This window comes from Homo sapiens, chromosome 16, assembly GCF_000001405.40.
Source record: "Homo sapiens chromosome 16, GRCh38.p14 Primary Assembly".
Lineage (NCBI taxonomy): Eukaryota > Metazoa > Chordata > Mammalia > Primates > Hominidae > Homo > Homo sapiens.
Window position 1 is genome coordinate 89,824,777 of NC_000016.10, and position 24,674 is coordinate 89,849,450.

The 24,674-nt window shown below is 55.5% G+C and overlaps 1 protein-coding gene and 1 long non-coding RNA gene across 2 annotated transcripts in view, besides 8 other annotated features; one reads left to right on the forward strand and one right to left on the reverse strand.

The window, feature by feature from the left end:
* Nucleotides 3,699-24,674, forward strand: part of SPIRE2 (spire type actin nucleation factor 2) — a 42,845-nt gene continuing 21,869 nt past the window's right edge. Inside the window, exons 1-2 of the mRNA NM_032451.2 lie at nt 3,699-4,018; nt 20,546-20,589. Coding sequence (NP_115827.1) covers nt 3,775-4,018; nt 20,546-20,589 — 288 coding nt within the window. The 5' untranslated portion in view covers nt 3,699-3,774. The remainder of the gene's footprint in view (nt 4,019-20,545; nt 20,590-24,674) is intronic.
* Nucleotides 3,753-3,842: a silencer, noted in NCBI's record as "silent region_7927". NCBI's record gives its function as "represses an Ori minimal core promoter by ATAC-STARR-seq in GM12878 lymphoblastoid cells {active_cell/tissue: GM12878}" and the evidence as "EXISTENCE:reporter gene assay evidence [ECO:0000049][PMID:35858748]".
* Nucleotides 9,049-10,248: an enhancer, noted in NCBI's record as "BRD4-independent group 4 enhancer chr16:89900233-89901432 (GRCh37/hg19 assembly coordinates)". NCBI's record gives its function as "activates an origin of replication core promoter dependent on BRD2, P300/CBP, MED14 and CDK7 cofactors, and independent of BRD4, by STARR-seq in HCT116 cells {active_cell/tissue: HCT116}" and the evidence as "EXISTENCE:reporter gene assay evidence [ECO:0000049][PMID:35650434]".
* LOC124903760 (uncharacterized) lies at nt 11,783-13,262 on the reverse strand. Its single transcript, XR_007065186.1, has 2 exons — nt 12,924-13,262; nt 11,783-12,831 (listed from the first exon to the last, which is right to left on the reverse strand). It is a non-coding gene; the product is annotated as an uncharacterized LOC124903760 (long non-coding RNA).
* Nucleotides 12,260-12,882: an enhancer, noted in NCBI's record as "H3K27ac-H3K4me1 hESC enhancer chr16:89903444-89904066 (GRCh37/hg19 assembly coordinates)". NCBI's record gives its function as "activates a minimal SCP1, AML or CMV promoter by ChIP-STARR-seq in naive H9 embryonic stem cells {active_cell/tissue: H9 hESC(naive)}" and the evidence as "EXISTENCE:reporter gene assay evidence [ECO:0000049][PMID:30033119]".
* Nucleotides 12,883-13,504: an enhancer, noted in NCBI's record as "H3K27ac-H3K4me1 hESC enhancer chr16:89904067-89904688 (GRCh37/hg19 assembly coordinates)". NCBI's record gives its function as "activates a minimal SCP1, AML or CMV promoter by ChIP-STARR-seq in naive H9 embryonic stem cells {active_cell/tissue: H9 hESC(naive)}" and the evidence as "EXISTENCE:reporter gene assay evidence [ECO:0000049][PMID:30033119]".
* Nucleotides 22,152-22,296: an enhancer, noted in NCBI's record as "145 bp 16:89913406 sequence used in MPRA reporter constructs". NCBI's record gives its function as "activates a minimal TATA-containing promoter with rs36100920 allelic activity by MPRAs in C283T melanocytes {active_cell/tissue: C283T}" and the evidence as "EXISTENCE:reporter gene assay evidence [ECO:0000049][PMID:36423637]".
* Nucleotides 22,223-22,224: a transcriptional cis regulatory region, noted in NCBI's record as "rs36100920 or 16:89913406 MPRA-significant variant associated with a GWAS melanoma risk locus at 16q24.3". NCBI's record gives its function as "allelic transcriptional activity by MPRAs in C283T melanocytes {active_cell/tissue: C283T}" and the evidence as "EXISTENCE:reporter gene assay evidence [ECO:0000049][PMID:36423637]".
* Nucleotides 22,501-23,120: an enhancer, noted in NCBI's record as "H3K4me1 hESC enhancer chr16:89913685-89914304 (GRCh37/hg19 assembly coordinates)". NCBI's record gives its function as "activates a minimal SCP1, AML or CMV promoter by ChIP-STARR-seq in naive H9 embryonic stem cells {active_cell/tissue: H9 hESC(naive)}" and the evidence as "EXISTENCE:reporter gene assay evidence [ECO:0000049][PMID:30033119]".
* Nucleotides 23,121-23,739: an enhancer, noted in NCBI's record as "H3K4me1 hESC enhancer chr16:89914305-89914923 (GRCh37/hg19 assembly coordinates)". NCBI's record gives its function as "activates a minimal SCP1, AML or CMV promoter by ChIP-STARR-seq in naive H9 embryonic stem cells {active_cell/tissue: H9 hESC(naive)}" and the evidence as "EXISTENCE:reporter gene assay evidence [ECO:0000049][PMID:30033119]".

The window sequence follows — 24,674 nt, forward strand, 5'->3', positions numbered from 1 at the left end:
ATGGGGTTTCACCATATTGGCCAGGCTGGTCTGGAACTCCTGACCTCGTGATCTGCCCCCTTGGCCTCCCAAAGTGCTGGGATTACAGGCTTGAGCCACCGTGCCCAGCCCTAACTTTTAAAATTTTTTACTAAAATCTCAGTGTTCTAAGTCCTGCTGGTGAGTCCATAGGGATCCCAGGTAGGATGGTGGATGCCAGTTCAGAGAGGGTCACTGTACCCCACTCACGTGACCTCAAGGGTCACTGTTCAGCCAGGTGAGTCAGCACTAGGTCCTTGCCAGGATGCAGCAGTGGCTGGAGGACTGAGCTCACAAATTACACCCTAAAACCTTGTGGTCGGTAAGGGACACGTGAGGCCCTTTGAGGAAGAGAGAAGGTCCCCTTGTGCCCCAGCCAGCTTCCCATTAGGGTAATTACCATCTTCTGCTCAAATGTCCCCGGCCAGTGCTGCACTGTGGCAGTGATGAGGCTGCACGTCCAAAGAGTGCTCTGGGGTGGTGGCCAGTCGTGGTGAGAGCAATGTCCCCCACCTTGACTTCTGGCAAGAAGCAGTGAGACCTACTCAGTGGGGTGTTGCAAATGGAAGTCTTTTTTTTTTTCTTTTTTTATTTTTGAGATGGAGTCTCGCTCTGTCGCCCAGGCTGGAGTGCAGTGGCGCGATCTCGGCTCACTGCAAGCTCCGCCTCCTGGGTTCACGCCATTCTCCTGCTTTAGCCTCCCCAGTATCTGGAACTACAGGCACCCGACACCACTCCTGGCTAATTTTTTGTGTTTTTTAGTAGAGACGGGTTTCACCATGTTAGCCAGGATAGTCTCAATCTCCTGACCTCTTGATCCATCCGCCTCGGCCTCCCAAAGTGCTGGGATTACAGGAGTGAGCCACCGCGCTCGGCCACAAATGGAAGTCTTTATCCCCGTGCATTCTGAAGGGAGAAACCACCCTGTGTGTGGGACCAAGGATCAGCCTCAGACATCAGCAGAGAACAATTCCCCATCATCACACACCTGGCAGTGTGTGGGCCAGGGACTTTGGTTACCACGAATGTAGAGCGTGCTGCTCCTGTGGAATAAGATGCCTCATGGAAGGTTTTCTGCTGTTGCTCTTCTAAGCCAGAACTTGAAATTCCTAACTTACCCATCGTTGGTACCCATGCTGCGGGTGGCAGGGACAAATCAGGAGGGGAGATCTGCTTGAGTGCCAGGTTTGTGGTACATGGTATTCAGGGCATGGCACCCCATCCCCACCCCGCTCATCTCCAATTTTCCTTCTGCAAAACCCCACTGCGCCTATTAGTCTTTATGCATCTATTTACTAGAGACAGGGTCTCACCGTCACCCAGGCTGGAGTGCAGTGGTGCAATCACAGCGCACTGCAACCTCGACCTCCCAGGCTCAAGTGGTCCTCCTGCCTTACCCTCCCAAGTAGCTGGGACCACCGGCACACACCTCCACACCTGGCTAATGTTTTTAAAGTTTTGTAGCGATAGGGTCTCATGTTGCCCTGGCAGGTCTCGAACTCCTGGGTTCAAGCCATCGGGTTGCCTCGGCCTCCCAAAGTGCTGGGATTACAGGCATGAGCCACCGTGCCCAGCCCACTCCTGTTACTTTTGGTTGTGTTTTAGCTTGGGGAACCAACAAAAGATGTGAATGTTGCCCCGCTGTTGATTATAAAAACTTTAGGCATGGCTGGGCACAGTGGCTCATGCCTGTAATCCCAGCACTTTGAGAGGCCGAGGCGGGCGGATCATGAGGTCAGGAGATTGAGACCATCCTAGCTAATACAGTGAAACCCCGTCTCTACTAAAAAAATACAAAAAATTAGCTGGGCGTGGTGGCAGGCGCCTGTAGTCTCAGCTACTCAGGAGGCTGAGGCAGGAGAATGGCGTAAACCTGGGAGGGGAGCTTGCAGTGAGCAGAGATCGCGTCACTGCACTCTAGCCTGGGCAACAGAGCGCGACTCTGCCTCAAAACAAACAAACAAACAAACTTTAGGCACAATTCGTCATCATCAGCCTCCTTTCTGCTTACAGATGAAAAGTCCAGCTGGACGGGACGACATGGCTCATGCCTGCAACCCCAGCACCCTGGGAGGCTGAGGCAGGGGGATCACCTGAGGTCAGGATTTCGAGACCGGCCTGGCCGACATGGCGAAACCACCCAAAAAATTACCCGGGTGTGGTGGTGGGCGCCTGTAGTTCCAGCTACTTTGAGGCTGAGGCAGGAGAAACGCTTGAATCTGGGAGGTAGAGGTTGCAGTGAGCCAAGGTTGCGCCACTGCACTCCAGCCTGGGCGATAAGAGCAAAACTCCTTCTCAAAAAAAAAAAAAAGAAAGGGAAAGAAAAGAAAAGTCCAGCTGGACTGGGCGCGGTTGCTCACGCTTGTAATCCCAGTACTTTGGGAGACCAAGGTGGCCTGACTGCTTGAGCCCAGGAATTCAAGACCAGCCTGGGCAACATGGTGAGATCCCATCTCCACAAAAAATAAAAACAATCAGCTGGGCGTGGTGGTTCATGCCTTTAGTCCCATCTACTCAGGAAGCTGACGTGGGAGGATCACTTGACCCCAGGAATTTGAGGTTATAGTGAGCTACGATTGTACCATTGCACTTCAGCCTGGGTGAGACCTTGTCTCTAAAAAAAAAAAAAGAAAAAAAAATCATTGTGGAACTTCTTTTCTGGGATGGGATCTCACTGTGTTGTCCAGGCAGGTCCAGAACTCCTGGGAGACCAGCGAACTTTAAGTGCCCCAAGTTTCACCTCGGACCTGCATCAGAATCTCCAGCCCTGGAGCCCAGGAATCTGCATTTCTTGCCCCCGGGTGGTACTGGCAGCACCCAGGCTTGGGACCGTTTATGCCCCAACTGCATTTTCTTGCCCACTTATTCAGATCTGGCACAACTATGAAGAGGCCTCGGGATGAGCCCCAGCCGAGTTCCCCTTGCGTCCCTCAGGCAAACACCCAGTGTCCAGGAGTGACCCGGCCTGAAGACACAAACACGCCCCAAATGCGATGCACGCCATCACTGGCCAACCGTGTGTGTTTATTTTTCACGGACACCCTGGAGACGTCACTGCAGGCACATTCCCTGCTAGGCAGAGGCATTTATTAAGGGCTTCATACCCGAAGGCCGGATGCGGGGAGTCGCCCTCACCCCAGCCACCCTGCGACAACCCCTGGAGGTCACCTTGCCCGGGGCTCGGGGAGGCCACTGCGGGCTTTGTCTGCTCAGCTCCTCCCGGCTCCCTCCCGCGTTCCCAGCGGCAAACCTCCCAGGCCCCCCGCGGTCACCGCAGTGTCCCGGGCTGGATGCCGGCCCGGGCTTTTGTGGGCATCGGCCGTCTGGGTCTGCGGGGGAGCGCCGGGGGTGTCACCGCGTGTCCGAGCGCGCGGGCCCTGGCCCATGTCTGCAGCCCCCAACCCTCCCCCCGGTCCTGCCCAGCACCCCGGAGGGGTTCGCACCCCGGCCTCGGCCCCGCGCCCCCGCGTCCCCAGCCCTGAGCCCCAGCCCCTCCGCACCTACCCGCGCCCCGCCCTGCCCCTCACCCGTCCCCCTCCGGGCCTCTCCCCGCGCGCCCTCCACTCCCCGCCCCGCCCCGCGTCCCTCCCCCTCCGCGCCCCGCCCCCCGCGCCCTCCGCGCCCCGCCCCCGTCGCCGCCCCGCCCCCAACCTGAGGCGCTCGCGCGGGGCGGGGCGGCCAGGCTGACCCTGCGCGGCGGAAGGCGCGGCTGCATGGACGCGGGTCCGGCGCGCGGGAGGCGATGACGGCCCCGCCATGGCCCGGGCGGGCAGCTGCGGCGGCGCCGCGGCGGGCGCAGGGCGGCCGGAGCCCTGGGAGCTGTCCCTGGAGGAGGTGCTGAAGGCCTACGAGCAGCCGCTCAACGAGGAGCAGGCGTGGGCCGTGTGCTTCCAGGGCTGCCGCGGGCTGCGGGGCTCGCCGGGCCGGCGCCTGCGGGATACCGGGGACCTCCTGCTGCGCGGGGACGGCTCGGTCGGGGCGCGGGAGCCCGAGGCCGCGGGTGAGGCCGGGGGCGGGGCAGCCGGCGGGGACCGCGGTCTGGGGCGTCCGTCCCGCCCCCTGGGTGGGGGTGGTCCCGGCGGAGAGGCTGCGACCGGTTCTGGAGCGGGAGATCCCCTTCTCTGCGGGACCCGGAGCTCCCTCCCTCCCACTCTCCGTCCCTCTTTCCCTCTCTCTTTCCTCCCTCCTTCTCTCCCTCCTTCCTCTCCCTCCCCGGCCCTGGACGTTCCCCTCCCGGACCCCCCCACCTGACGCCTCTCCCAGCGCGGAGCGGGCTGCTCCCCAGTGGCCTGGCTTCCTCCGGGAGAGGGACTTGGGCCGGTGGCTCAGGGAGCACGGAGCTGGCCTTTGCTGGGGCGACTCCTCCCCTGCCTTCAGCAGGAAAGGAGACAGAAGCGTCCCCTTGGGGCATTTTCTCCTGGGTGGAAGGTGGGGGGCTGCGCCTCACTTGGCGTCTGAACTGACACTAAATTCCTGGGTTTAACTGGGAGAGGAAGGGGTGTGTAAAGTTGGGGGGACAACCTGCTTGGTGTTTCTATTCTTAACCATCAACCAGAACCAACAATTAAGCCCTAGAAAGATACTTGAAGTTAGTGAGAATGGTGAGCTTAAGTGATTATTTACCCTTTACGAAAAAAACCGAAAGTGATTTCTTCCCTGGAGAGCTGGAGTGCTGGCTTGGAGCATGTGATATGACCCCAAAAGCTGGTACCCTGCCGGGGGGCAGAGGCAGGCTGTGTGTTTGCCGCACTCTCTCCAGGCCTGAGAGCTGTGGGTTTGCATGAGCAGGCCTATGTGGAGGACCAGGAAGGGCCAGGGCAAGGCCAGACAGAAGCAAGCTACAGAGCCACGAGGGGTGGGGGCCGTTGTGCCCCACCCAAGGGCCCTTGTTCCTTCACCAGGTCCTGCTCATCCTGGAGCCCCCCCCTCAGCTGCCTCCACACTCCTGCCATTTGCAGTATCCCACACAGGTGACAGCAAGAGCAGGCCCTGAGGTTTTACTCCCTCTGGAGAAACCTGAGGCGCAGGCTTGCGCTGGCACTCAGACAGTGGCAGCGTTCAGATTCACTGTGGCGTCCCTCAGGGCTGTGCCCACTGCCGCCCAGAGGGTGGGGTGAGACGGCAGGTGCATGGGGCCCAGGAGGCTGCATGCTCACAGAGCCTCTGTGAAAGGGTGCCTGGACTTCACCCCATTCCTGGAGATAAGTGCAGAGCAGGAGGAGGCTGTAGGCAGCCTGGTTCGTCTGACCCTCTGACTGTAAAGATGGGGAAACCGAGGCACACAGTGGTAAGTGGTTTGCCGGGTGGTTAGAATCCAGAGCTCCTCATTTGTCCTAGCTGTGCGGGAGCCCAGCCGCCTGCTTCCTGTTGGTGCTGTGCAAGGCGTCCTCAGAGCAGTGATCTGATTCTCTCCACCTCCATCCCTGGGTGGTGTGGCCCCTTCCTGGTCCTCACAGCCCCGGCAGCAGTTCCTGGCTGGGGTTCAAAGTTCAGGTAGGGCACTGTGTTGACCTTAGGGGGTGGTACCCACCTGTGGTCCAGTTCATTTTTTATTTGATAACGATCTTTGTTTTCTGTTCATAACCCTGTCTCATGAAGGCGAATGAGTTTTATGACTTGCTCTCTCTTGAAGGTTTAAGAAAAATCTATTACCCTGAACTTTCTGTGCCATCCTTGTGGTGCTTCTGAGTCAGCTGAGACATCAGGCCAGCTGTCTCCTCAAAGGTGGCTAACCCAGCCTTTCTCTGGGACTTAAGTGATAAGTAAATACATTAAAAGATGCATACTTATTTCTCCCTGTAGATATCAATAGGAAAACATCCAATCTCACTTGTTGGCATTGTAGTCTCAGTTTTTTGCTCCAGTTGAATTTCTCAACCTGTAACCTTGGGTCTTCAGTACCCACCCTCTCACACAAACTGAATATGGGCAGTAGGTGTGTAAAACCACTTTGAAAAAAACCAACAACAAACTAGACCATACTTAGGAGGATGAATAATATTATCTTAGCACACAAGTAGTAATACTTCTCATTTCCAAGCCAAGATTAGGAAAAAAATGACTAGAAGAGACTTCCTAATCTTTACTCTGAAGACTTTGTAACTGCTTAGAATCTTTTTTTTTTTTTTTTTTTGAGAGGGAGTCTCGCTCTGTTGCCCAGGCTGGAGTGCAGCGGCACAATCTCTGCTCACTGCAAGCTCCACCTCCCGGGTTCACGCCATTCTCCTGCCTCAGCCTCCCGAGTAGCTGGGACTACAGGCGCCCGCCACCACGCCCGGCTAATTTTTTGTATTTTTAGTAGAGACGGGGTTTCACCGTGTTAGCCAGGATGGTCTCGATCTCCTGACCTCGTGATCTGCCCACCTCGGCCTTCCAAAGTGCTGGGATTACAGGCGTGAGCCACTGCGCCCAGCTGGGTGGTTTCTCAAATACATCTCAGACGTGGTGCTAATGAGGGTCTGTGTGGTCCATGTGCAAGGTGGGTGGGATGGCCCTTCCTTCCGTCACCTGCCCTCTTCACCCTGATTGGCTACTTTACACGTGACCCTATTTTTTGAATGTTTTTTCTTGTCAACTTTGGATGCTAAACTTTTTTTCTTTCTTTCTTTTTTTTTTTTTTTTATGAGACAGTCTCGCTCTGTCGCCCAGGCTGGAGTGCAGTGGCGCGTTCTCGGCTCACTGCAAGCTTCGCCTACTGGGTTCACGCCATTCTCCTGCCTCAGCGTCCCGAGTAGCTGGGACTACATGCGCCCGCCACCACGCCCGGCTAATTTTTTGTATTTTTAGTAGAGACTGGGTTTCACTGTGTTAGCCAGAATGGTCTCGATCTCCTGACCTCATGATCCGCCCACCTCGGCCTCCCAAAGTGCTGGGATTACAGGCGTAAGCCACCACGCCTGGCCTGGATGCTAAACTTTTTCACAGGCAGGCCCCGCTCTTTACGCTAGGATGCCCCACGTTGCTGGTCCTCCAGGTATCCCCCGCCCTTTCTCCTGCCCCTCCCCCTTCTGCCCGGCTCTCAGGCCATCTGCCTCTAAGGCACCCTTAGAGCACTGGCTCTGGGGTTCTGCTGTTTCGCAGCCCCGCGCACTCCCAGATGTCTAAGCCTTCCCAACCTGTTCATCTCGCGGCCTGTGTTCTAAACAGAAACATCCATAGTGATCTAGGCAGCACGGGGCACCGTGTCCACGTCCAGAGCTCTGCAGAGGGCGAAGCTCTTCCCTCCTCTGGTTCCCTCCATCCCGCGCCGTGCTGATGAGCAGGCCCCAGCTTCTTGCTCCCATTCCTCCTCAAGGCGGAGTGATGGCAGCGCGTGCCCGCGTGAGGCAAGAGAGGGGCTCTGGGCCCAGGAAGCACCCCATGGTTACGGCCCATGTGAAGGGGCATCCTTTTCACCCACGGAAGCCCGTTTGTGTGTCTGTGCTGGAGTCCACCTTTGCCGAGGAGCACCGTGGCCTCGAGCCCGCAGCCAGCCTGCCTGTTCTGCCGCTGGATCTGGGCTGGCTGGGCCTCCTCAGTGGCCAGGACTGTCTGGTGAGCTTGCCTTTATTTTAAAATAGCAGTCTGCAAACGTGTGCACATGAGTGTTTAGTTGTTTTCTGGAGATGGTGTCTGTAGTTGTGCTGGAGAAAAGCAAGAACTGATTGGAAAGATGAAATTCTGCTCCCAGAGGAGATAATATTTTCCTCCTCCTGAGTCTCCCTCTGGAAGCCAGGACACTTCTGCTTGGAATGCGTTCCTTAAACCAGGTGGCTTCTGTTAGCAGCTTCCTGACTCCTCACCAGAGCTGAGGGGCATCACGGCCAGCATCACCTGCCCTCACTGTCCCTGGGCACCCTCGGAGCTCAGGCCCTGCTTCTATTGCACCCTGGGAGGAGAACTCAGTCAAGACACGGTGTGGAGATGAGGCCAGGTGCCCCTTACAGGTGGGCACATTGCTTCAGCATCCAGGGGCGTTTGCAGAGCCGGGCTGAGCAGTGCCCTTCCATGCTCTTGTTTGCTCCTCTGATGAAGGGCCCTGTTTTTGTTGTTGTTGTTGTTTTTTGGGACAGAGTTTCGCTCTTATTGCCCAGGCTGGAGTGCAATGGCATGATCTCGGCTCACTGCAACCTTAGCCTCCTGAGTTCAAGCGATTCTCCTGCCTCAGCCTCCCAAGTAGCTGGGATTACAGGTGCCTGCCACCAAACCCAGCTGATTTCTTTTTTTTTTTTTTGTGAGACAGAGTTTCGCTCTGTTGCCTAGGCTGGAGTGCAATGCCGTGATCTCAGCTCACTGCAACCTCTGCCTCCCCAGGTTCAAGTGATTCTCCTGCCTCAGCCTCCGGAGTAGCTGGGATTACAGGCATGTGCCACCGCACATGCCTTTTTGTATTTTTAGTAGAGATGGGGTTTCACCATGTTGGCCAGGCTGGTCTCGAACTCCTGACCTCAGGTGATCCGCCTGCCTTGGCCTCCGAAAGTGCTGGGATGACAGGCATGAGCCACCGCACCCGGCCATCTTTTTGTATTTTTAGTAGAGATGGGGTTTCACCATGTTGGCCAGGCTGGTCTCAAACCCCTGACCTCAGGTGATCCGCCTGCCTCAGCCTCCAAAAGTGCTGGGATTACAGGGTGAGCCACCGCACCCGCCTGGCCAAAGGCACTGTTTTGATTCCCATTTTACAAATGAGAAGACTCAAGTCCACAAAGGGAAAGCAGCCACCCAGGTGGTATCAGGGGCAGGTTCAGCTCAGCCCCTACGCCCTGCTGGGCTCAGGGGCAGGTTCAGCTCAGGCCTACGGCCTGCTGGGCTTGAGAAGCTTCGCCTTTGTGCCTCGGTTTCCTTCTCCGTGAAATGGGAGGTGCAGCGTGGTGCTAACGTCTGTGCAGCCCTGGGCACGCCTGGCTCCGGAAGCACTGGCCAGTGGAGGTGGCAGCAAGGGATCTGCACCTGTGCACTCGCTGGACCTGCCTTGGGGAGCAGCACGTGTGGGTCCAGGCTGCGAATCCCGACCGGATTCTCAGGGAGGGGTTCTGCAAGGTGCACCCGGTGGGGGCTGGGAGCTCCTCCGGGGCGTGTTTCCCTGTGACGTAAAATGACCTCTATCCCTGAGCCCTCCCATGTAGAAAGCGGGAAGGAGGCTGGCCGCTGTGTGTGGGTGTGGGTGTGAGCTGGGTGTGTCTCTGTGTGAGCTGGGGTTTGTTTGTAGATGGCATTCCCGATATAGTCTCACCTCTGAGCAAGGGTTACCTCACAGGAAGGCAGTCCTGCAGCAAGACTCTTCTCTTTACGGAGACATCTGTGAACCTGCCTGCGCTCGCGGTTGGCCGTCGTAGAAGCATGGATAAGCATAGCCCGTGTGAATCTGTGAACCTGCCTGCGCTCGCGGTTGGCCGTCGTAGAAGCCTGGATAAGCATAGCCCGTGTGAATCTGTGAACCTGCCTGTGCTCACGGTTGGCCGTCGTAGAAGCATGGATAAGCATAGCCCGTGTGAATCTGTGAACCTGCCCGCGCTCGCGGTTGGCCGTCGTAGAAGGCCCCATAAGCATAGCCCGTGTGAATCTGTGAACCTGCCTGTGCTCACGGTTGGCCGTCGTAGAAGCCTGGATAAGCATAGCCCGTGTGAATCTGTGAACCTGCCCGCACTCGCGGTTGGCCATCGTAGAAGCCTGGATAAGCATAGCCCGTGTGAATCTGTGAACCTGCCCGCACTCGCGGTTGGCCATCGTAGAAGTGTGGATAAGCATAGCCCATGTGAATCTGTGAACCTGCCCGCATTCGCGGTTGGCCGTCGTAGAAGGCCCCATAAGCATAGCCCGTGTGAATCTGTGAACCTGCCCGCACTCGCGGTTGGCCGTTGTAGAAGCCTGGATAAGCATAGCCCGTGTGAATCTGTGAACCTGCCCGCACTCGCGGTTGGCCGTCGTAGAAGCCTGGATAAGCATAGCCCGTGTGAATCTGTGAACCTGCCCGCACTCGCGGTTGGCCATCGTAGAAGTGTGGATAAGCATAGCCCATGTGAATCTGTGAACCTGCCCGCATTCGCGGTTGGCCGTCGTAGAAGGCCCCATAAGCATAGCCCGTGTGAATCTGTGAACCTGCCCGCACTCGCAGCTGGCCGTCGTAGAAGGCCCCACAAGCATAGCCCGTGTGAATCTGTGAACCTGCCCGCACTCGCGGCTGGCCGTCGTAGAAGGCCCCATAAGCATAGCCCGGGTGAATCTGTGAACCTGCCCGCACTCGCGGTTGGCCGTCGTAGAAGCGTGGATAAGCATAGCCCGTGTGAATCTGTGAACCTGCCCGCACTCGCAGTTGGCCGTCGTAGAAGCCTAGATAAGCATAGCCCGTGTGAATCTGTGAACCTGCCCGCACTCACGGTTGGCCGTCGTAGAAGCGTGGATAAGCATAGCCCGTGTGAATCTGTGAACCTGCCTGCGCTCGCGGTTGGCCGTCTTAGAAGCGTGGATAAGCATAGCCCGTGTGATTTTTCGCTGAGCCCTGGCTTGGGCAGCTCTTGCAAGTTCTGCCTTGTGCTTTTGGGCAAAGGCTTGGGGTCCCTGTGCTACTGTTGAGATTCGGTTAATGGTGGGAATGTGGCCCCGTCCTCACTGCCACCTTCCAGGCCCTCCTACACCGACTCACCACCAGCCTGATGTTCACAGAGAGTAGTTTCTCTGCCCCAGATAGGAAAGAATCTGCTATGTCTTCCTAATTCAGCAACAGGGGTATTGGAGTGCTGGTGAGAGCCGGCTCCCACAGCCTGTAGGGACTGGTTGGTCTGGTCCTGGTTTGCAGCCCATTTAAGCAAACATATCAGTGGGTCTCAGTGCAGGAAGACAGAAGGTTTCGGCTCTGATCATTCACTCTGACTCCTCAGAGGGCATTGGGACTCCAGATAAGGTTGAGGCCCCATTTAGGAGGAAGGCGGGCTGGAAACACACCTGGTAATTAGGCAAATCAGCCCGTGCCGGGGAAGTCGAGGACACCTGGAGGAAGGGCCCAGCCTCGCCTGGCTTCTCTGTCCTCCTCATTCCAAAGACCCCTTCATTCCAGCGCGTGTGTCTCTCTGGGACTGAGGAGCGGGAGGAGTGCGTGGGAGTAGTTTAAAAGGAGTGTATGGGCCAGGTGTGGTGGCTCACACCTGTAATCCCAGCACTTTGGGAGGCTGAGGCTGGCGGATCACATGAGGTCAGGAGTTTGAGAACAGCCTGGCCAACATGGTGAAACCCCGTCTCTACTAAAAATACAAAAATTTGCTGAGCTTGGTGGCGGGCGTCTGTAGTCCCAGTTGTTTAGGAGGTTAAGGCAGGAGAATCGCTTGAATCTGGGAGGCGGAGGTTGTAGTGAGTCGAGATTGCGCCACTGCCCTCCAGCCTGGGCGACACAGTGAGACTCCATTTCAAAAACAAAAACAAAACAAACATAGGTTATTCTCTTACAGTTGAAGAGGTCAGAAACCCAGGATGATCCACCTGTCAGGGGTCAGCACCTGGACCCTCAACTGCCACTGTAAGCTCCTCTCGGTACATGCTCACAGGTTCTGGGGTTAGAACACAGACAGCTTTAGGGGCCGTGATTCTGCCGACTGCAGCGGACCGGGGGCCGAGAATCTGAGGGAGTGCCCACAACCCACCTCCAGATCCTCCTCCACTGTCTCCAGGTATTTCCTTGCGTCTCTCTCCATCCTCCCTTCCATCTCATTTTAATGCATTTCAGGGAAGTTGTGGATGGTAGGACGGTTCCCCTAAATACTTCAGCCTGTGTGGTATTAAGCAGACACCAACGTTTGTTTATAGTTGTTTCTTTTGAGGTGAAATTTACATACAGTGAAATGCAAGAATCCGGAATGTACATTCACCCAGAACGACCTTGACCTCTGCTGTGAAGGTCTCACCGCCCTGGAGAGCTGTGAAAAATATCCCCCGGCCGGGGGCGGTGGCTCACGCCTGTCATCCCAGCACTTTGGGAGGCCAAGGCAGGCGGATCACCTGAGGTCGGGAGTTCGAGACCAGCCTGACCAACATGGAGAAACCCCGTCTCTACTGAAAAAAAAAAAAAAGAAAAAAAGAAAGTTAGCTGGGCGTCGTGGTACATGCCTGTAATCCCAGCTACTGAGGAGGATGAGGCAGGAGAATCGCTTGAACCTGGGAGGCGGAGGTTGTGGTGAGCCAGGATTGCGCCATTGCACTCCAGCCTAGGTAACAAGAGTGAAACTCCAGCTAAAAAAAGAAAAAATCCTGCACCCCAGATTCCTGTTCTGTAGGTCTTTGCAGGCCCCAGGAATCTGTGTTTCCAAAGCTGCCCGTGCCTGGCCCGTCGCGTGGGTTCTGGAATTGCAGGTCTTCTCCCTCGAGCAGGACTCGAGGCTCCGTTGTCAGGCCTGTTAAATCCAGATCCGAGTCCTGCCCGGAACATCTGACTCTGACCCTCCCAGGTCAGCCTGAGAATCTGCATCTGTAACAAGTTCCCTGGTCTGCTGCTGCAGGAGTGAGGCACCCCACCCTCAGGGGACTCGGATGGTGGTGAGGGGGAAGAGTTGAGGTCTCCGTGTCAGCCCTGGAGCCAAGGCTAGGCCCAGGGTCAGACTCAGCTGGGTGGCCTTGGGTCAGTTCCTCACCCTCTCTGGACCTCTTGGACCGGGATTAATAGCATAGCCGCATCGTGAGGCGCATGTGACAGGGGTGCTTCTTAGCCAGGAGAGAGGGCACCTTCTCAGGTAGGATCTGACGCTGTCACCTCTCAGCTGCTGCCTTTCTGCTGTGACCAGCGGTGGGGTCCCCTTAGGGCTCACCTCAAGACTTGACACACGCCAGGCAGGGGCTGGGTCGGGATCCCTGCAGGAGCGGAGAAGCGGGGGATCAGGGGCACTGCTGAGGGCAGTTCTGTGGCCAACACACGCCTCCCGGACTCGGGTCTCCGCACGCACCTCCCGGACTCGGGTCTCCGCAGGCATTGATGCCTGGCATCCTGGGTTCTTGTTGAGGAGGAGGACGCCCCGTGCGGGGGGCGTGTGAGTTTATGGAACGAGTGGGTTGGTCTCAGCCAGGGATCAGCCACCGCCCTCTGAGACGAGCACTGGCGGAAGTGAGATGCAAGAGGAAGCTCACGGCTCAACCACATGGTTCCCTCTGACCCAAAGAGCAGGCTCTGTTTGCTAAACAAACACAGACTCCTGGTTTCGTGCGGGCGTTTCTCCCTCTGGGCTTCCATTTGCCTGCTCTCAGCAGCTTCTTTTTTTGTTTTTATTTTTTTTTCTGAGACAAGTCTTGCTCTGTCACCCAGGCTGGAGTGCCTCAGCTCACTGCAGTCTCCGCCTCCGGGGATCAAACGATTCTCCCACCTCAGCCTCCAGAGTAACTGGGACCACAGGCACACACCACCACGCTCAGCATTTTTTTTTTTTTTTTTTTTTTTTGTATTTTTAAGAGAGACGGGATCTTACCACATTGCCCAGGCTGGAGTGTAGTGGTGCAATCTCAGCTCACTGCAAACTCCACCTCCTAGGTTCTTGCCATTCTCCTGCCTCAGCCTCCTGAGTAGCTGGGACTACAGGAACCCACCACCATGCCCAGCTAATTTTTGTATTTTTTAGTAGAGATGGGGTTTCACCATGTTGGCCAGGCTGGTCTTGAACCCCTTACCTCAGGTGATCGGCCTGCCTCGGCCTCCCAAAGTGCTGGGATTACAGGCGTGAGCCACCGTCCCCAGCCTACAATAACTCTTATGGTAGGTGATTTCTCTGTTTCATCAGCGGGAACCAGGGAAGCTCAGGGAAGCACGGTGAGCCACGGAAGCCACACAGGCTGTCTGATGGCAGATCTGTGTTTGCCCCAGACCACCAGGCCCCCACCCTGAATTCTAAGACTGACTTGGGTGCTGCGGGCTTACTCACTCTCACACCTTGATTTCTTGACACTCGCACATCCACATGCTCCAAATCAAAGTGCAGAGTGCAATGAAGGGTGTCCAACAGCCCGTGCTAGGAGTGTTTTTCATCTGTGCAGCAGGCAGGTGGCTCTGTCTCCTCCTGCACTCAGGGGCTCCCCTCTCTTTTCCTCAGTGTGGGTCTTGGGTTTTCTCCGCACAAAGGGCTCTTGTTCTCTTTCATGGCTGCCCAGTGTCCCTGTGTGCAATCTAGTAGAGACGGGGTTTCACCATGTTGGCCAGGCTGGTCTTGAACCTTTTACCTCAGGTGATCTATCTGCCTCGGCCTCCCAAAGTGCTGGGATTACAGACGTGTCTCAAGTGGACACATCTGTGTTTCGAGTGTTAAACTGTTAGGAGGGGGCTGGGCGCTGTGGCTCACGCCTGTAATCCCAGCACTTTGGGAGGCCAAGGCGGGTGGATCACGAGGTCAGGAGATCGAGACCATCCTGGCTAACATGGTGAAACCCCATCTCTAAAAATACAAAAATTACTAAATACAAAAAAATTACTAAAAATACAAAAAATTAGCTGGGCGTGGTGGCGGGCGCCTGTAGTCCCATCTACTTAGGAGGCTGAGGCAGGAGAATGGCATGAACCCAGGAGGCAGAGATTGCAGTGAGCCGAGATCGCGCCACTGCACTCCAGCCTGGGCGACAGAGCGAGACTCCATCTCAAAAAAAAAAAAAAAACTGTTAGGGATGTCATGGGTGTGTGGCCGGGTGCCTGTGCCTTCCAGGAGTGTTGGCAGTGGGTGGGGGGCGGCGCTGATTTGAAAGTTGCTGCAGGGTGCCTGCTTTGGGCTGTTGCTAGTTCGTGGGTCTGCCAGGAATGGGTGTGCTGCGTCCCCCTGTCTGCCCTGGCCCTGGTGCTTCTGAGAGCACTCAGCCTGAGACCTGGGAAGCAGGAAACCCCTGGAGGCGGGAGAGATCAGAGATGGCTTCACTCACAGTCAGCGTTTAAGCAGCGGCCACGTGCGGGGGTTGGGCCCAATGTAGCCAAATGCTATGGCCTCATCAAGATGTGTGAGGTCTTCCTCTGGGGGTGGGGTGAAAAGGGGAGTCGTACCCCTTCCCATGCAGAGAGCATGGGCTCCCCCAGAGCCATCCCTGTCCTGACCCCAAGGCTAAGAGAGTCAAAGGCAGGGCAGCCTTGGGCCAAGCCTGGCCAGGGGGCCCTGGTGGCCTCACTGCCATTGTCACTGATGATCATGCCTGTGTGTGTCTGCCACCTGACTTGTTATTCGAGGTAACGCCATGCGTGAGATTGAGCAGGAGTCATCTCTGTCCTGCAGGTGAGGAAGTGAGGTCACAGGGGCAAGACACCCAGCGCCAGTAGCCACAGGTTGGTCAGGATCTGACCTCCCACCAAACCCCTTGTCGGGCTAGGCTGACGCTCCCAAGCAGATGGAGGCTGAGGCTGCCTGGTAACCTCTGTCCACCACCCACCTCCCTGCAGTGTGGGACGACCTTCCTCTTGAAGCTGCTGGAGGAGCTGCAGGCAGCAAATGTCCCACAGACATCCCTCTTCCAAATGAAACCTGTCATCTTTTTTTTTTTTTTTTTTTTTTGAGACGGAGTCTCGCTCTGTCGTCCAGGCTGGAGTGCAGTGGCGCGATCTCGGCTCACTGCAAGCTCCACCTCCCGGGTTCACATCATTCTCCTGTCTCAGCCTCCCGAATAACTGGGACTACAGGCGCCCGCCACCAGGCCTGGCTAATTTTTTAGATTTTTAGTAGAGACGGGGTTTCACCGTGTTAGCCAGGATGGTTTCGATCTCCTGACCTTGGGATCCGCCCGCCTCGGCCTCCCAAAGTGCTGGATTACAGGCATGAGCCACCATGTCTGGCCCAAATCCTTTCAAAGTTATATTTTAATGTTACCGTAATGTTTCTCTCAAAAGTTGGAGATGGTTTGCATAAAAATAAAAAGTTTTCAAATTTTTTTTTTTTTTTTTTTGAGATGGAGTCACTCTGTCGCCCAGGCTGGAGTGCAATGGCGCAATCTCGGCTCACTGCAAACTCCGCCTCCCAGGTTCACGCCATTCTCCTGCCTCAGCCTCCCGAGTAGCTGGGACTACAGGTGCCCGCCACCACGCCCAGCTTATTTTTTTGTATTTTTTAGTAGAGACGGGGTTTCACCGTGTTAGCCAGGATGGTCTCGATCTCCTGACCTCATGATCCGCCTGCCTCGGCCTCCCAAAGTGCTGGGATTACAGGCGTGAGCCACCGCGCCCAGCTGAAACCTGTCATCTTTTACAAGCACACACAGGATTGTTTCAAAGAAGACTCCCTAGCATCTTTGTTCTAGTCATTTGTTATTTTACACAAAAGAAATCTGAGTCAGGTGCAGTAGCTCACACCTGTACTCCCAGCACTTTGGGAGGCTGAGGCGGGAGGATCGCTTGAGCCCAGGAAGTCATGGCTGCAGTGAGCCATGATTACACCACTGCACTCCAGCCTGGGTGACAGAGCAACACCTTGTTTCAAAAAAAAAAAAAAAGGAAAAAGAAACTCAGGTGGCTTTTCTTCTCTCATTGAGGCTGTGCTTCCCTGCAGGGAGAAATAGGCTCTTAACTCTTAGTGGTGGATGGAAACGAGGGGTCCTGGTTCTGCCTCCCACCTTAGCATGGCACTAATAGACTTGATGAGAATCTGGGGTCCTTACTGCCTCCGTCTGCTCTACCCTGGAGAGAATTTTTTAGATAAGCAAAAGGTGGTTTGCATAACCCCATGTGGCCACGTTGGTGACGTGGTTGTGGTAGCTCTGTGGCCACGTTGGTGACGTGGTTGTGGTAGCTCTGTATGCACTTATACCTGGGTGTTCGGCTGGGTTGCTTGCTGTGGTCTGGCCATGCTCGGTGGCCCAGCTGCCCCATTTATTAGGGGTATGGTCTTGGGTAAGTTTCTCAACCTGCCTGAGCCTCGATTTCCTCATCTGTAACGAGGAAATTATGGCACCAACCTTTATGGGATGGCTGCGCAGATAGAGGCCACGGTAAATAATTTTTTTTTTTTTGAGATGGAGTTTTGCTTTTGTTACCCAGGCTGGAGTGCAGTGGCACGATCTCGGCTCACCGCAACCTCCACCTCCCAGGTTCAAGCCGTTCTCTTGCCTCAGCCTCCCAAGTAGCTGGGATTACAGGCGTGTTCCTCCCGAGTAGCTGGGATTACAGGCATGCGCCACCATGCCCGGCTAATTTTGTATTTTTAGGAGAGGTGGGGTTTCTCCCTGTTGGTCAGGCTGGTCTCCAACTCCTGACCTCAGGTGATCCGCCTACCTCAGCCTCCCAAAGTGCTGGGATTACAGGCGTGAGCCACCGCACCCCACAGTAAATAATTTTTTAACATCTAGTTTTATAACATCTGAGTTTTATAACATCCTGGGCTCGGGCTCTGACTGCAAAGGCCTCTGTCGGCCCCCAAGTCTCCCCCAGATAATCTCTCATCTCAGAACCCAGAGACACCCCAAGTCTTTGCAGCTTAAATACAATTAGATTCATGAACACGTAATTTTTTTTTTTTTTTTTTTTTTGTGACGGAGTCTCACTCTGTTGCCCAGGCTGGAGTGCAGTGGCACCATCTTGACTCACTGCAACCTCCACCTCCTGGGTTCAAGCGATTCTCCTCTCTCAGCCTCCCAAGTAGCTGGGATTACAGGCATGTGCCACCATGCCCAGCTAATTTTTGTATTTTTAGTAGAAACGGGGTTTTGCCATGTTGGCCAGACTGGTCTTGAACTCCTGACCTCAGGTGATCCACCCACTTCGGCCTCCCGAAGTGCTGGGATTACAGGCGTGAGCCACCGTGCCCGGCCGTGAACATTTAATTTTGATACAACTTTTTTTGTTAACCTATGGAGTATTTGAGCCAGAGGCACAAACATTAAAATTATTCCAACCAGAAGCTTCCCATGCACTGAGGACCTCGCCTGATGTGGGCTTAGTCTGTGAAGGCACTGAAGGGCCAGCCGGCCACCAGTCAGCCCTTCCCCACAGGGCCCTGGTCTGTTCCAGGGAGCACCTTTGTTTGGGTCTGATGTCTTCCACCTTCCCATGGCCTCGGCCCAATCACAGCTGCAAACGTGCTGAACGCCCAGCGCGGGCCAGGACTGCCCAGGCCCTGGGGACCCACACCCCCACCGTGGGCCACACATTGTTCTATGAACTCCACTGATGCGGGGGTGGATTGCTTTCCATTATGTTAATGGAGCAGGCTCCCTTTATCTTTGGCAATCTTCCTGGTTCTTGATGGCATTTTGAAAATATTTGTGGAGTTAGCAGGTCCACTGAGCAGATGATTTCATGGCTTAGATATAGACGCATATATACATCTTACCTCATTCCAGAAAGAATTCCAGGCAGCTGGAGCTCTTGTTCTAGCACAGTCCCACCTGCATGCCCAGTTCAAGGAAGGCTGTAGAATCGGGTGGATGTTTTGCATCCCACCCAGCGCAGCATCTTGGGAACCCCGGGGGAGGAGGGTTGGGGAGCACAGACCCTGGGCCCCACGGCCTGGCCCCACTCCTGGCACTTATCAGCCCTGATACCTTGGAGCAAACAGATTCATCCTCCGGTCTCTGTTTCCTCATCTGTGAAACGGGAAGTGGAGCAACCAGCTCCAGCGTGAGCACCGGCAAAAGGCAGGTTCGCTCCCGGGCCTCCCTCAGGGCCAGGTTTCATCAATGAAATACGTGACTCCAGCTTCCACCTGCATTTCCACTCGGACTGTGGTTCTCTAAGAGGCATAAACAGTCTTGGGGGGACATCTCCAAATCGGTGGTCTCAGTCAGATGCCGACTTACCTGCTCTGCAAAGTCTGTCTCTCCCTCTGACCCGGGGTTTCTCATCTGACTGCTGTGATTTCAGTGTGCACAACCTCAGTCCCAGGCAGGTGGTGTGTCTCATCTCAGACCACAGGTTCTTTCCTGAAGATGTGCCTCGATGGATGGAGCTGCTGCCTTGCTGCCACGTTTTTTTTTTTTTGTTTGTTTTTGTTTTTTGTTTTTTTTTTTTTTTTTTTGAGACAGAGTCTCGCTTTGTTGCCCAGGCTGGAATGCAGTGGCGTGATCTCGGTTCACTGCAACCTCCACCCCTCAGGCTCAAGTGATCCTCCCACCTCAGTCTCCCGAGTAGCTAGGACTACATATATGCACTACCATGCCCAGCTATTTTTATGTATTTTTTGGAGAGATGAGGTTTCGATATGTGGCCCAGGCTGGTCTCAAACTCCTAATCTTAAGTGATCCACCCGCCGTGGCACCTCAAAGTGCTGAGATTACAGGCATGAGCTGCCGTGCCTGGCCTTTTTTTTTTTTTGAGACAGGGTCTCACTCTGTCGCCCAGGCTGGTGTGCACTGGTGCAATCTTGGCTCACTGCAGCCTCAACCTCCTGGGCTCAAGAGGTCCTCCCGAGTAGCAGGACTACAGGCACCTGCCACCACGCCTGGCTAATTTTTTTATTTTTATTTTTATATATTTTTTGAGATGCAGTCACGCTCTGTTGCCCAAGCTGAAGTGCAGTGGCATGATCTTGGGTCAGCCTCCACCTGCAGCCTCCATCTCCTGGGTTCAAGCGATTCTCACGCCTCAGTCTCCTGAGTAGCTGGGATTACAGGTGCTCTCCACTATGCCTGGCTCATTTTTGTATTTTGTACTTTTAGTAGAGATAGGGTTTCATCATGTTGGTCAGGCTGGTCTTGAACTGCTAGCCTCAAGTGGTCCACCCACCTCAGCCTCCCAAAGTAATTTTTTTTTTTTTTGAGACAGAGTCTCACTCTGTTGCCCAGGCTGGAGTGCAGTGGTGCAATCTCGGCTCACTGCAAGCTCTGCCTCCTGGGTTCACGCCATTCTCCTGCATCACCCTCCCGAGTAGCTGGGACTACAGGTGCCCGCCACCACGCCTGGCTAATTTTTTGTATTTTTAGTACAGACGGGGTTTCACCGTGTTAGCCAGGATGGCCCCGATCTCCTGACGTTGTGATCCGCCTGCCTCAGCCTCCCAAAGTGCCGGGATTACAGGCGTGAGCCACCGCGCCTGGCCCTCCCAAAGTAATTTTAAAATTTTTTGTAGCCACAGGGGCTTACTATGTTGTCCAGGCTGGTTTTGAACTCCTGGCTGCTAGCAGCTCTCCCACCTCGGCATCTCAAAGTGCTGGGATTATAGGTGTGAGCCACCACATCTGGCCTCCTACTCCACCTGCCCCTCCTTCACTCTTACTCCCAGCCATGTTTCCCTAGGGGCAGCCTCCTGCAGTGCCCGGGACAGACTGTGGGACCTGTTGGCTGCTCTCCAGCCCTGACTCGCCTTTGAGTGGTCACCATGGAGGGGCTGCTGCGTGGGGCACTGGGGGTCTGTCCACAAGCTGACCATCATCCTTCTGCAAGTAGGGGTTGCCTTGCTCTCCCGGCCCCTGTACCTGGGTGTCCTGCTTAGAGCCAGCTCGAGCCGGGCCTCATGGGTGTTCGTCCAAATGACCAAGTGGCTGGGCCTGCTGTGAGCTTTCTGGTGTTCCGGCGGAGAGTGGGGCTGTGGTGTGTGTCCCCGAGGGGGAGGTGGGGGGACAGCAGTGTTTATTGGGGTCCCGGGGATGCTGACAAATAACTTAACTCCCTCTTCTCTTACAGAACCTGCAACCATGGTCGTGCCACTAGCCAGCTCGGAAGCCCAGGTACTTTTTAAAAAATTCCAAGTATTACTTGATGTGTGTTAAAACGTACCTGCATCTTAAAATGTAAATCATAAAACATATATAGTTACACAGTTGTTTCAGGGAGGCAGGGTGCAGATGAAGTACCCAACAGGCTTAGTTGCAGGGACTGGATGAAACGCTGTTCACAGAGAGCAGACGTGGAGGAGACCGCCGGGGTGGGGAGGGTCCCCGTGGTGCTTCCGGCCTGGAGGAGGCAGTGGTGTTACTTCCTTCCACAGCTGCACAGATGAGGGGCACAGCTGACGTCTGCAGGGCCGGCCTCCCAGACACAGAGCCGGGGTCAGGGAGACGACTTCAGGTGCAAACAGGAAAAATCAGCCTGGTGACCAGTGCCCCGAAACCCCACCCGACCAAAACTGGAACCTCACCGCAGGGCAGGGCCTTCCTCTCCCATTCACCTGCCCTGAAGTCATGTCTGGAACGTCATGTTTCCACTTTCTACTGCCTTTTTAGTTTTCTTTCTTTGTTTTTTTTGCTTTTGTTCATTTTATTTTATTTTATTGTTTTGAGATGGAGTCGCGCTCTGTCGCCCAGGCTGGAGTGCAGTGGTGTGATCTCGGCTTACTGCAAGCTCCGCCTCCCGGGTTCACACCTTTCTCCTGCCTCAGCCTCCCAAGTAGCTGGGACTACTGGTGCCCGCCACCACGCCCGGCTAATTTTTTTCTATTTTTAGTAGAGACGGGGTTTCACCGTGTTAGCCAGGATGGTCTTGATGTCCTGACCTTGTGATTCACCTGCCTCGGCCTCCCAAAGTGCTGGGATTACAGGAGTGAGCCACCGCGCCCGGCCTTATTTTATTTTTTAATAGAGATGTCTCACTATGTTGCCCGGACTAGTCTCAAACTCCTGGGCTCAAGCCATCCTCCCACTTGGCCTCCCAAAGTGCTGGGATTACAGTTCTGAGCCACTGTGCCTGGCCTCTTTTTTTTTTTGAGATAGAATCTCCCTCTGTCACCCAGGTTGGACTGCAGTGGTGCGATCTCAGCTCACTGCAACCTCGGCTAGTTGCAGCGCAACCTCCGTCTCCTGGGTTCAAGCAATTCTCCTGCCTCAGCCTCCCGAGTAGCTGAGATTACAGGCGCATGCCACCACGCCTGGCTAATTTTTGTGTTTTTTTTTGTTTTTGAGACAGAGTCTCTCTCTGTCACCAGGCTGGAGTGCAGTGGCGTGATCTTGGCTCACTGCAACCTCCGCCTCCCGGGTTCACGCCATTCTCCTGGCCAGCCTCTCAAGTAGCTGGGACTACAGGCGCCCGCCACCATGCCCGGCTAATTTTTGTATTTTTAGTAGAAGTGGGGTTTCACCATGTTGGCCAGGATGGTCTCAAACTCCTGACCTCATGATTCACCCACCTCAGCCTCCCAAACTGCTGGGATTACAGGTGTGAGCCATCACGCCCAGCCTTTTTTTTTTTTTTTTTAGATCTACCCTCTTGTTGCCCAGGGGGAGTCCAGTGGCGTGATCTTGGCTCACTGCAACCGCCGCCTCCCGGGTTCAAGCAATTCTCCTGCCTCAGTCTCCCGAGTGTCTTCTGTCTTTTGTAAAAGTTTTTCATGCCCAAGTGAGATTAATTGTTTAAAAAAAAAAAAACAAGAAGAAAACAACATAGATTTACCGCAAGACCTATTGATATATTATTAAACATGGTGGTATACCCAGGGTGGGTGTGACACAGACCAAAAGAGGCTGTGTGTTCTGTTGTTGATAATTTAAAAACAATAATAAAACCGAAGTCTATGTCACCACAAACAGCACTTAACAATTCAGTGATAAGGCACCTGCCACCGTGGAGAACCTCGGGGCGGGGATGTTTAGACTGCATGCGCTCAGGTTGCCTGGCAGCTCTGTGTGTGGAGATGCCATTGTGCTATACGTAGTGTCCTGGGACGTGAGTGGGGGCCTGTCTGTGTGGCTGTGTCCGGTTGTCGTGTGTCTCACTGTTGCGTTGTACACGGGACAGTTTACCTTTCTGAAGTCCAGGACTCCAGGGCTGGGAGGCCGGCTGGCCCTGCTGTCCCGAGTCTCCAAACAGAGCAGCTGCTGCCTACCGCCTGGAAGACCTTCCAAAGGGGGCCTGCCGTGGTACATCTTAAACGTTTTACAGAGAGCTTGGTATGCAGGGACGCAGCCTGGACTGTTTGTCTCAGAGGCGCATACGTTAACCTGATCGCCCTGTCCCCAGGAAAGACGGCAAAGGAGTTCCTTAACGTCTCGCTCCTGGATTCCATGAAATGACTGCACAGCCCCTCAGTTACTGGGCAGGTGTCCTGGGCTGGCAGTACTGCCCACCTGCTGCCCCAGGCCTGCACCTGCTGTGGGCGGGTGGAGGTGGGAGGCCCTGAGACTGGCTGCCTGCCCAGAATTTTCCTTATGGGAAAGCAAGTTTTTTGCTTTTCAGAGAAAGTTGCCAGTGACCTGGGCACAGAAGAGCTTTTATGGACGCAGCCTTCAGATAAGAGGCTCGGGTTGGAGTTAACCCTTTCAGTAATGTGATCAGGAAAAGCAGGGAGTGGCCTAGAGGGGCTGGGTGCTGCTGTGGACCGTGTGGGGGTTGGGGGCTTTGCTGCTTCCTCCCTCTGTCTGTCCTGTGCCACGAGGCACAATCGGAGCCACGCGACCAGGGACAGCACGAGCTGAGGCCAGCCCCACCCGGAGCAGGTGGGAAACACATTTCCCGCTACGCTGTCCTTCCCTGCCCTTCCCTCTGGGAATTTGTGTGAACAGCGGCTCTTCCAGTCGGCTTCCTCACACCCCGCCCTCTGTCACTGTGCCCAGGAGGGGCCCTCAGATTCCTCTCTGGAGGTCCCTTGCCCCAGGTGACCCCCCGAGCCCTGGCCAGGGCCCTGCTGTCACTGGTCGGGTGTGGCTGTTAGGCCTTGGCTGCTGCAGCGCCCTCTGACCTTGATTCTAGGATGTGTCTTGCCCGCCTACAGCAGAGATGAGATAACAGTGAGCCCCCAAGGTGGGCTGGGGCTCCACTCCCACTGATATACTTCCCACCAGTGCCCTTGCAGGTTCCAGGGCCTTCTGTGGCGTTTCTGCAGGACAGACGAGGCAGGTTCCAGGGCCTTCTGCGGCGTTTCTGCAGGACAGACGAGGCAGGTTCCAGGGCCTTCTGTGGTGTTTCTGCAGGACAGACGAGGCAGGTTCCAGGGCCTTCTACAGTATTTCTGCAGGACAGACGAGGCAGGTTCCAGGGCCTTCTGCGGCGTTTCTGCAGGACAGATGAGGCAGGTTCCAGGGCCTTCTGCGGCGTTTCTGCAGGACAGATGAGGCAGGTTCCAGGGCCTTCTGCAGTGTTTCTACAGGACAGACGAGGCAGGTTCCAGGGCCTTCTGTGGTGTTTCTGCAGGACAGACGAGGCAGGTTCCAGGACCTTCTGTGGTGTTTCTGCAGGACAGACGAGGCAGGTTCCAGGGCCTTCTGCGGCTTTTTTGCAGGTCAGACGAGGCAGGTTCCAGGGCCTTCTGCGGCGTTTCTGCAGGACAGATGAGGCAGGTTCCAGGGCCTTCTGCAGTGTTTCTGCAGGACAGACGAGGCAGGTTCCAGGGCCTTCTGTGGTGTTTCTGCAGGACAGACGAGGCAGGTTCCAGGGCCTTCTGTGGCGTTTCTGCAGGACAGACGAGGCTGTGTTCTTGGGCCTTGTCCTGGCCTGACTTTCACCTGTTCTTGTTCTGCCCGGCTCAGGATCAGGTTTCCTGGGCTCCCAGCAGTGGGTGGTGGGGAAGGAACACAGGAAATGAGAGGCCAAAGGGCCCCCCTGCAGGGCCACTGAGGCAAAGCGGCCCCAGGAAGTGGACAGTGCCTGGGGGAGGCGTGGCTCCATCTGCCACACCATGGCCCCCCACCCTGGCAGTGTGGCACAGAGCTGAGAGAGGGGCCATGAGCAGCCGCCCGTCCTGATCCAGCTTGGGCAGTCGAGACTGTGTTCAAGGGGACCGACCTCTCCATGCCTCCGTCCCTGTCCCCACGTCAGTGTGGCTCGAGGTGAGGTTGGTACGTGATGTGCAGGGCCCGGCACAGCATCTGACATAAGGAGTGCT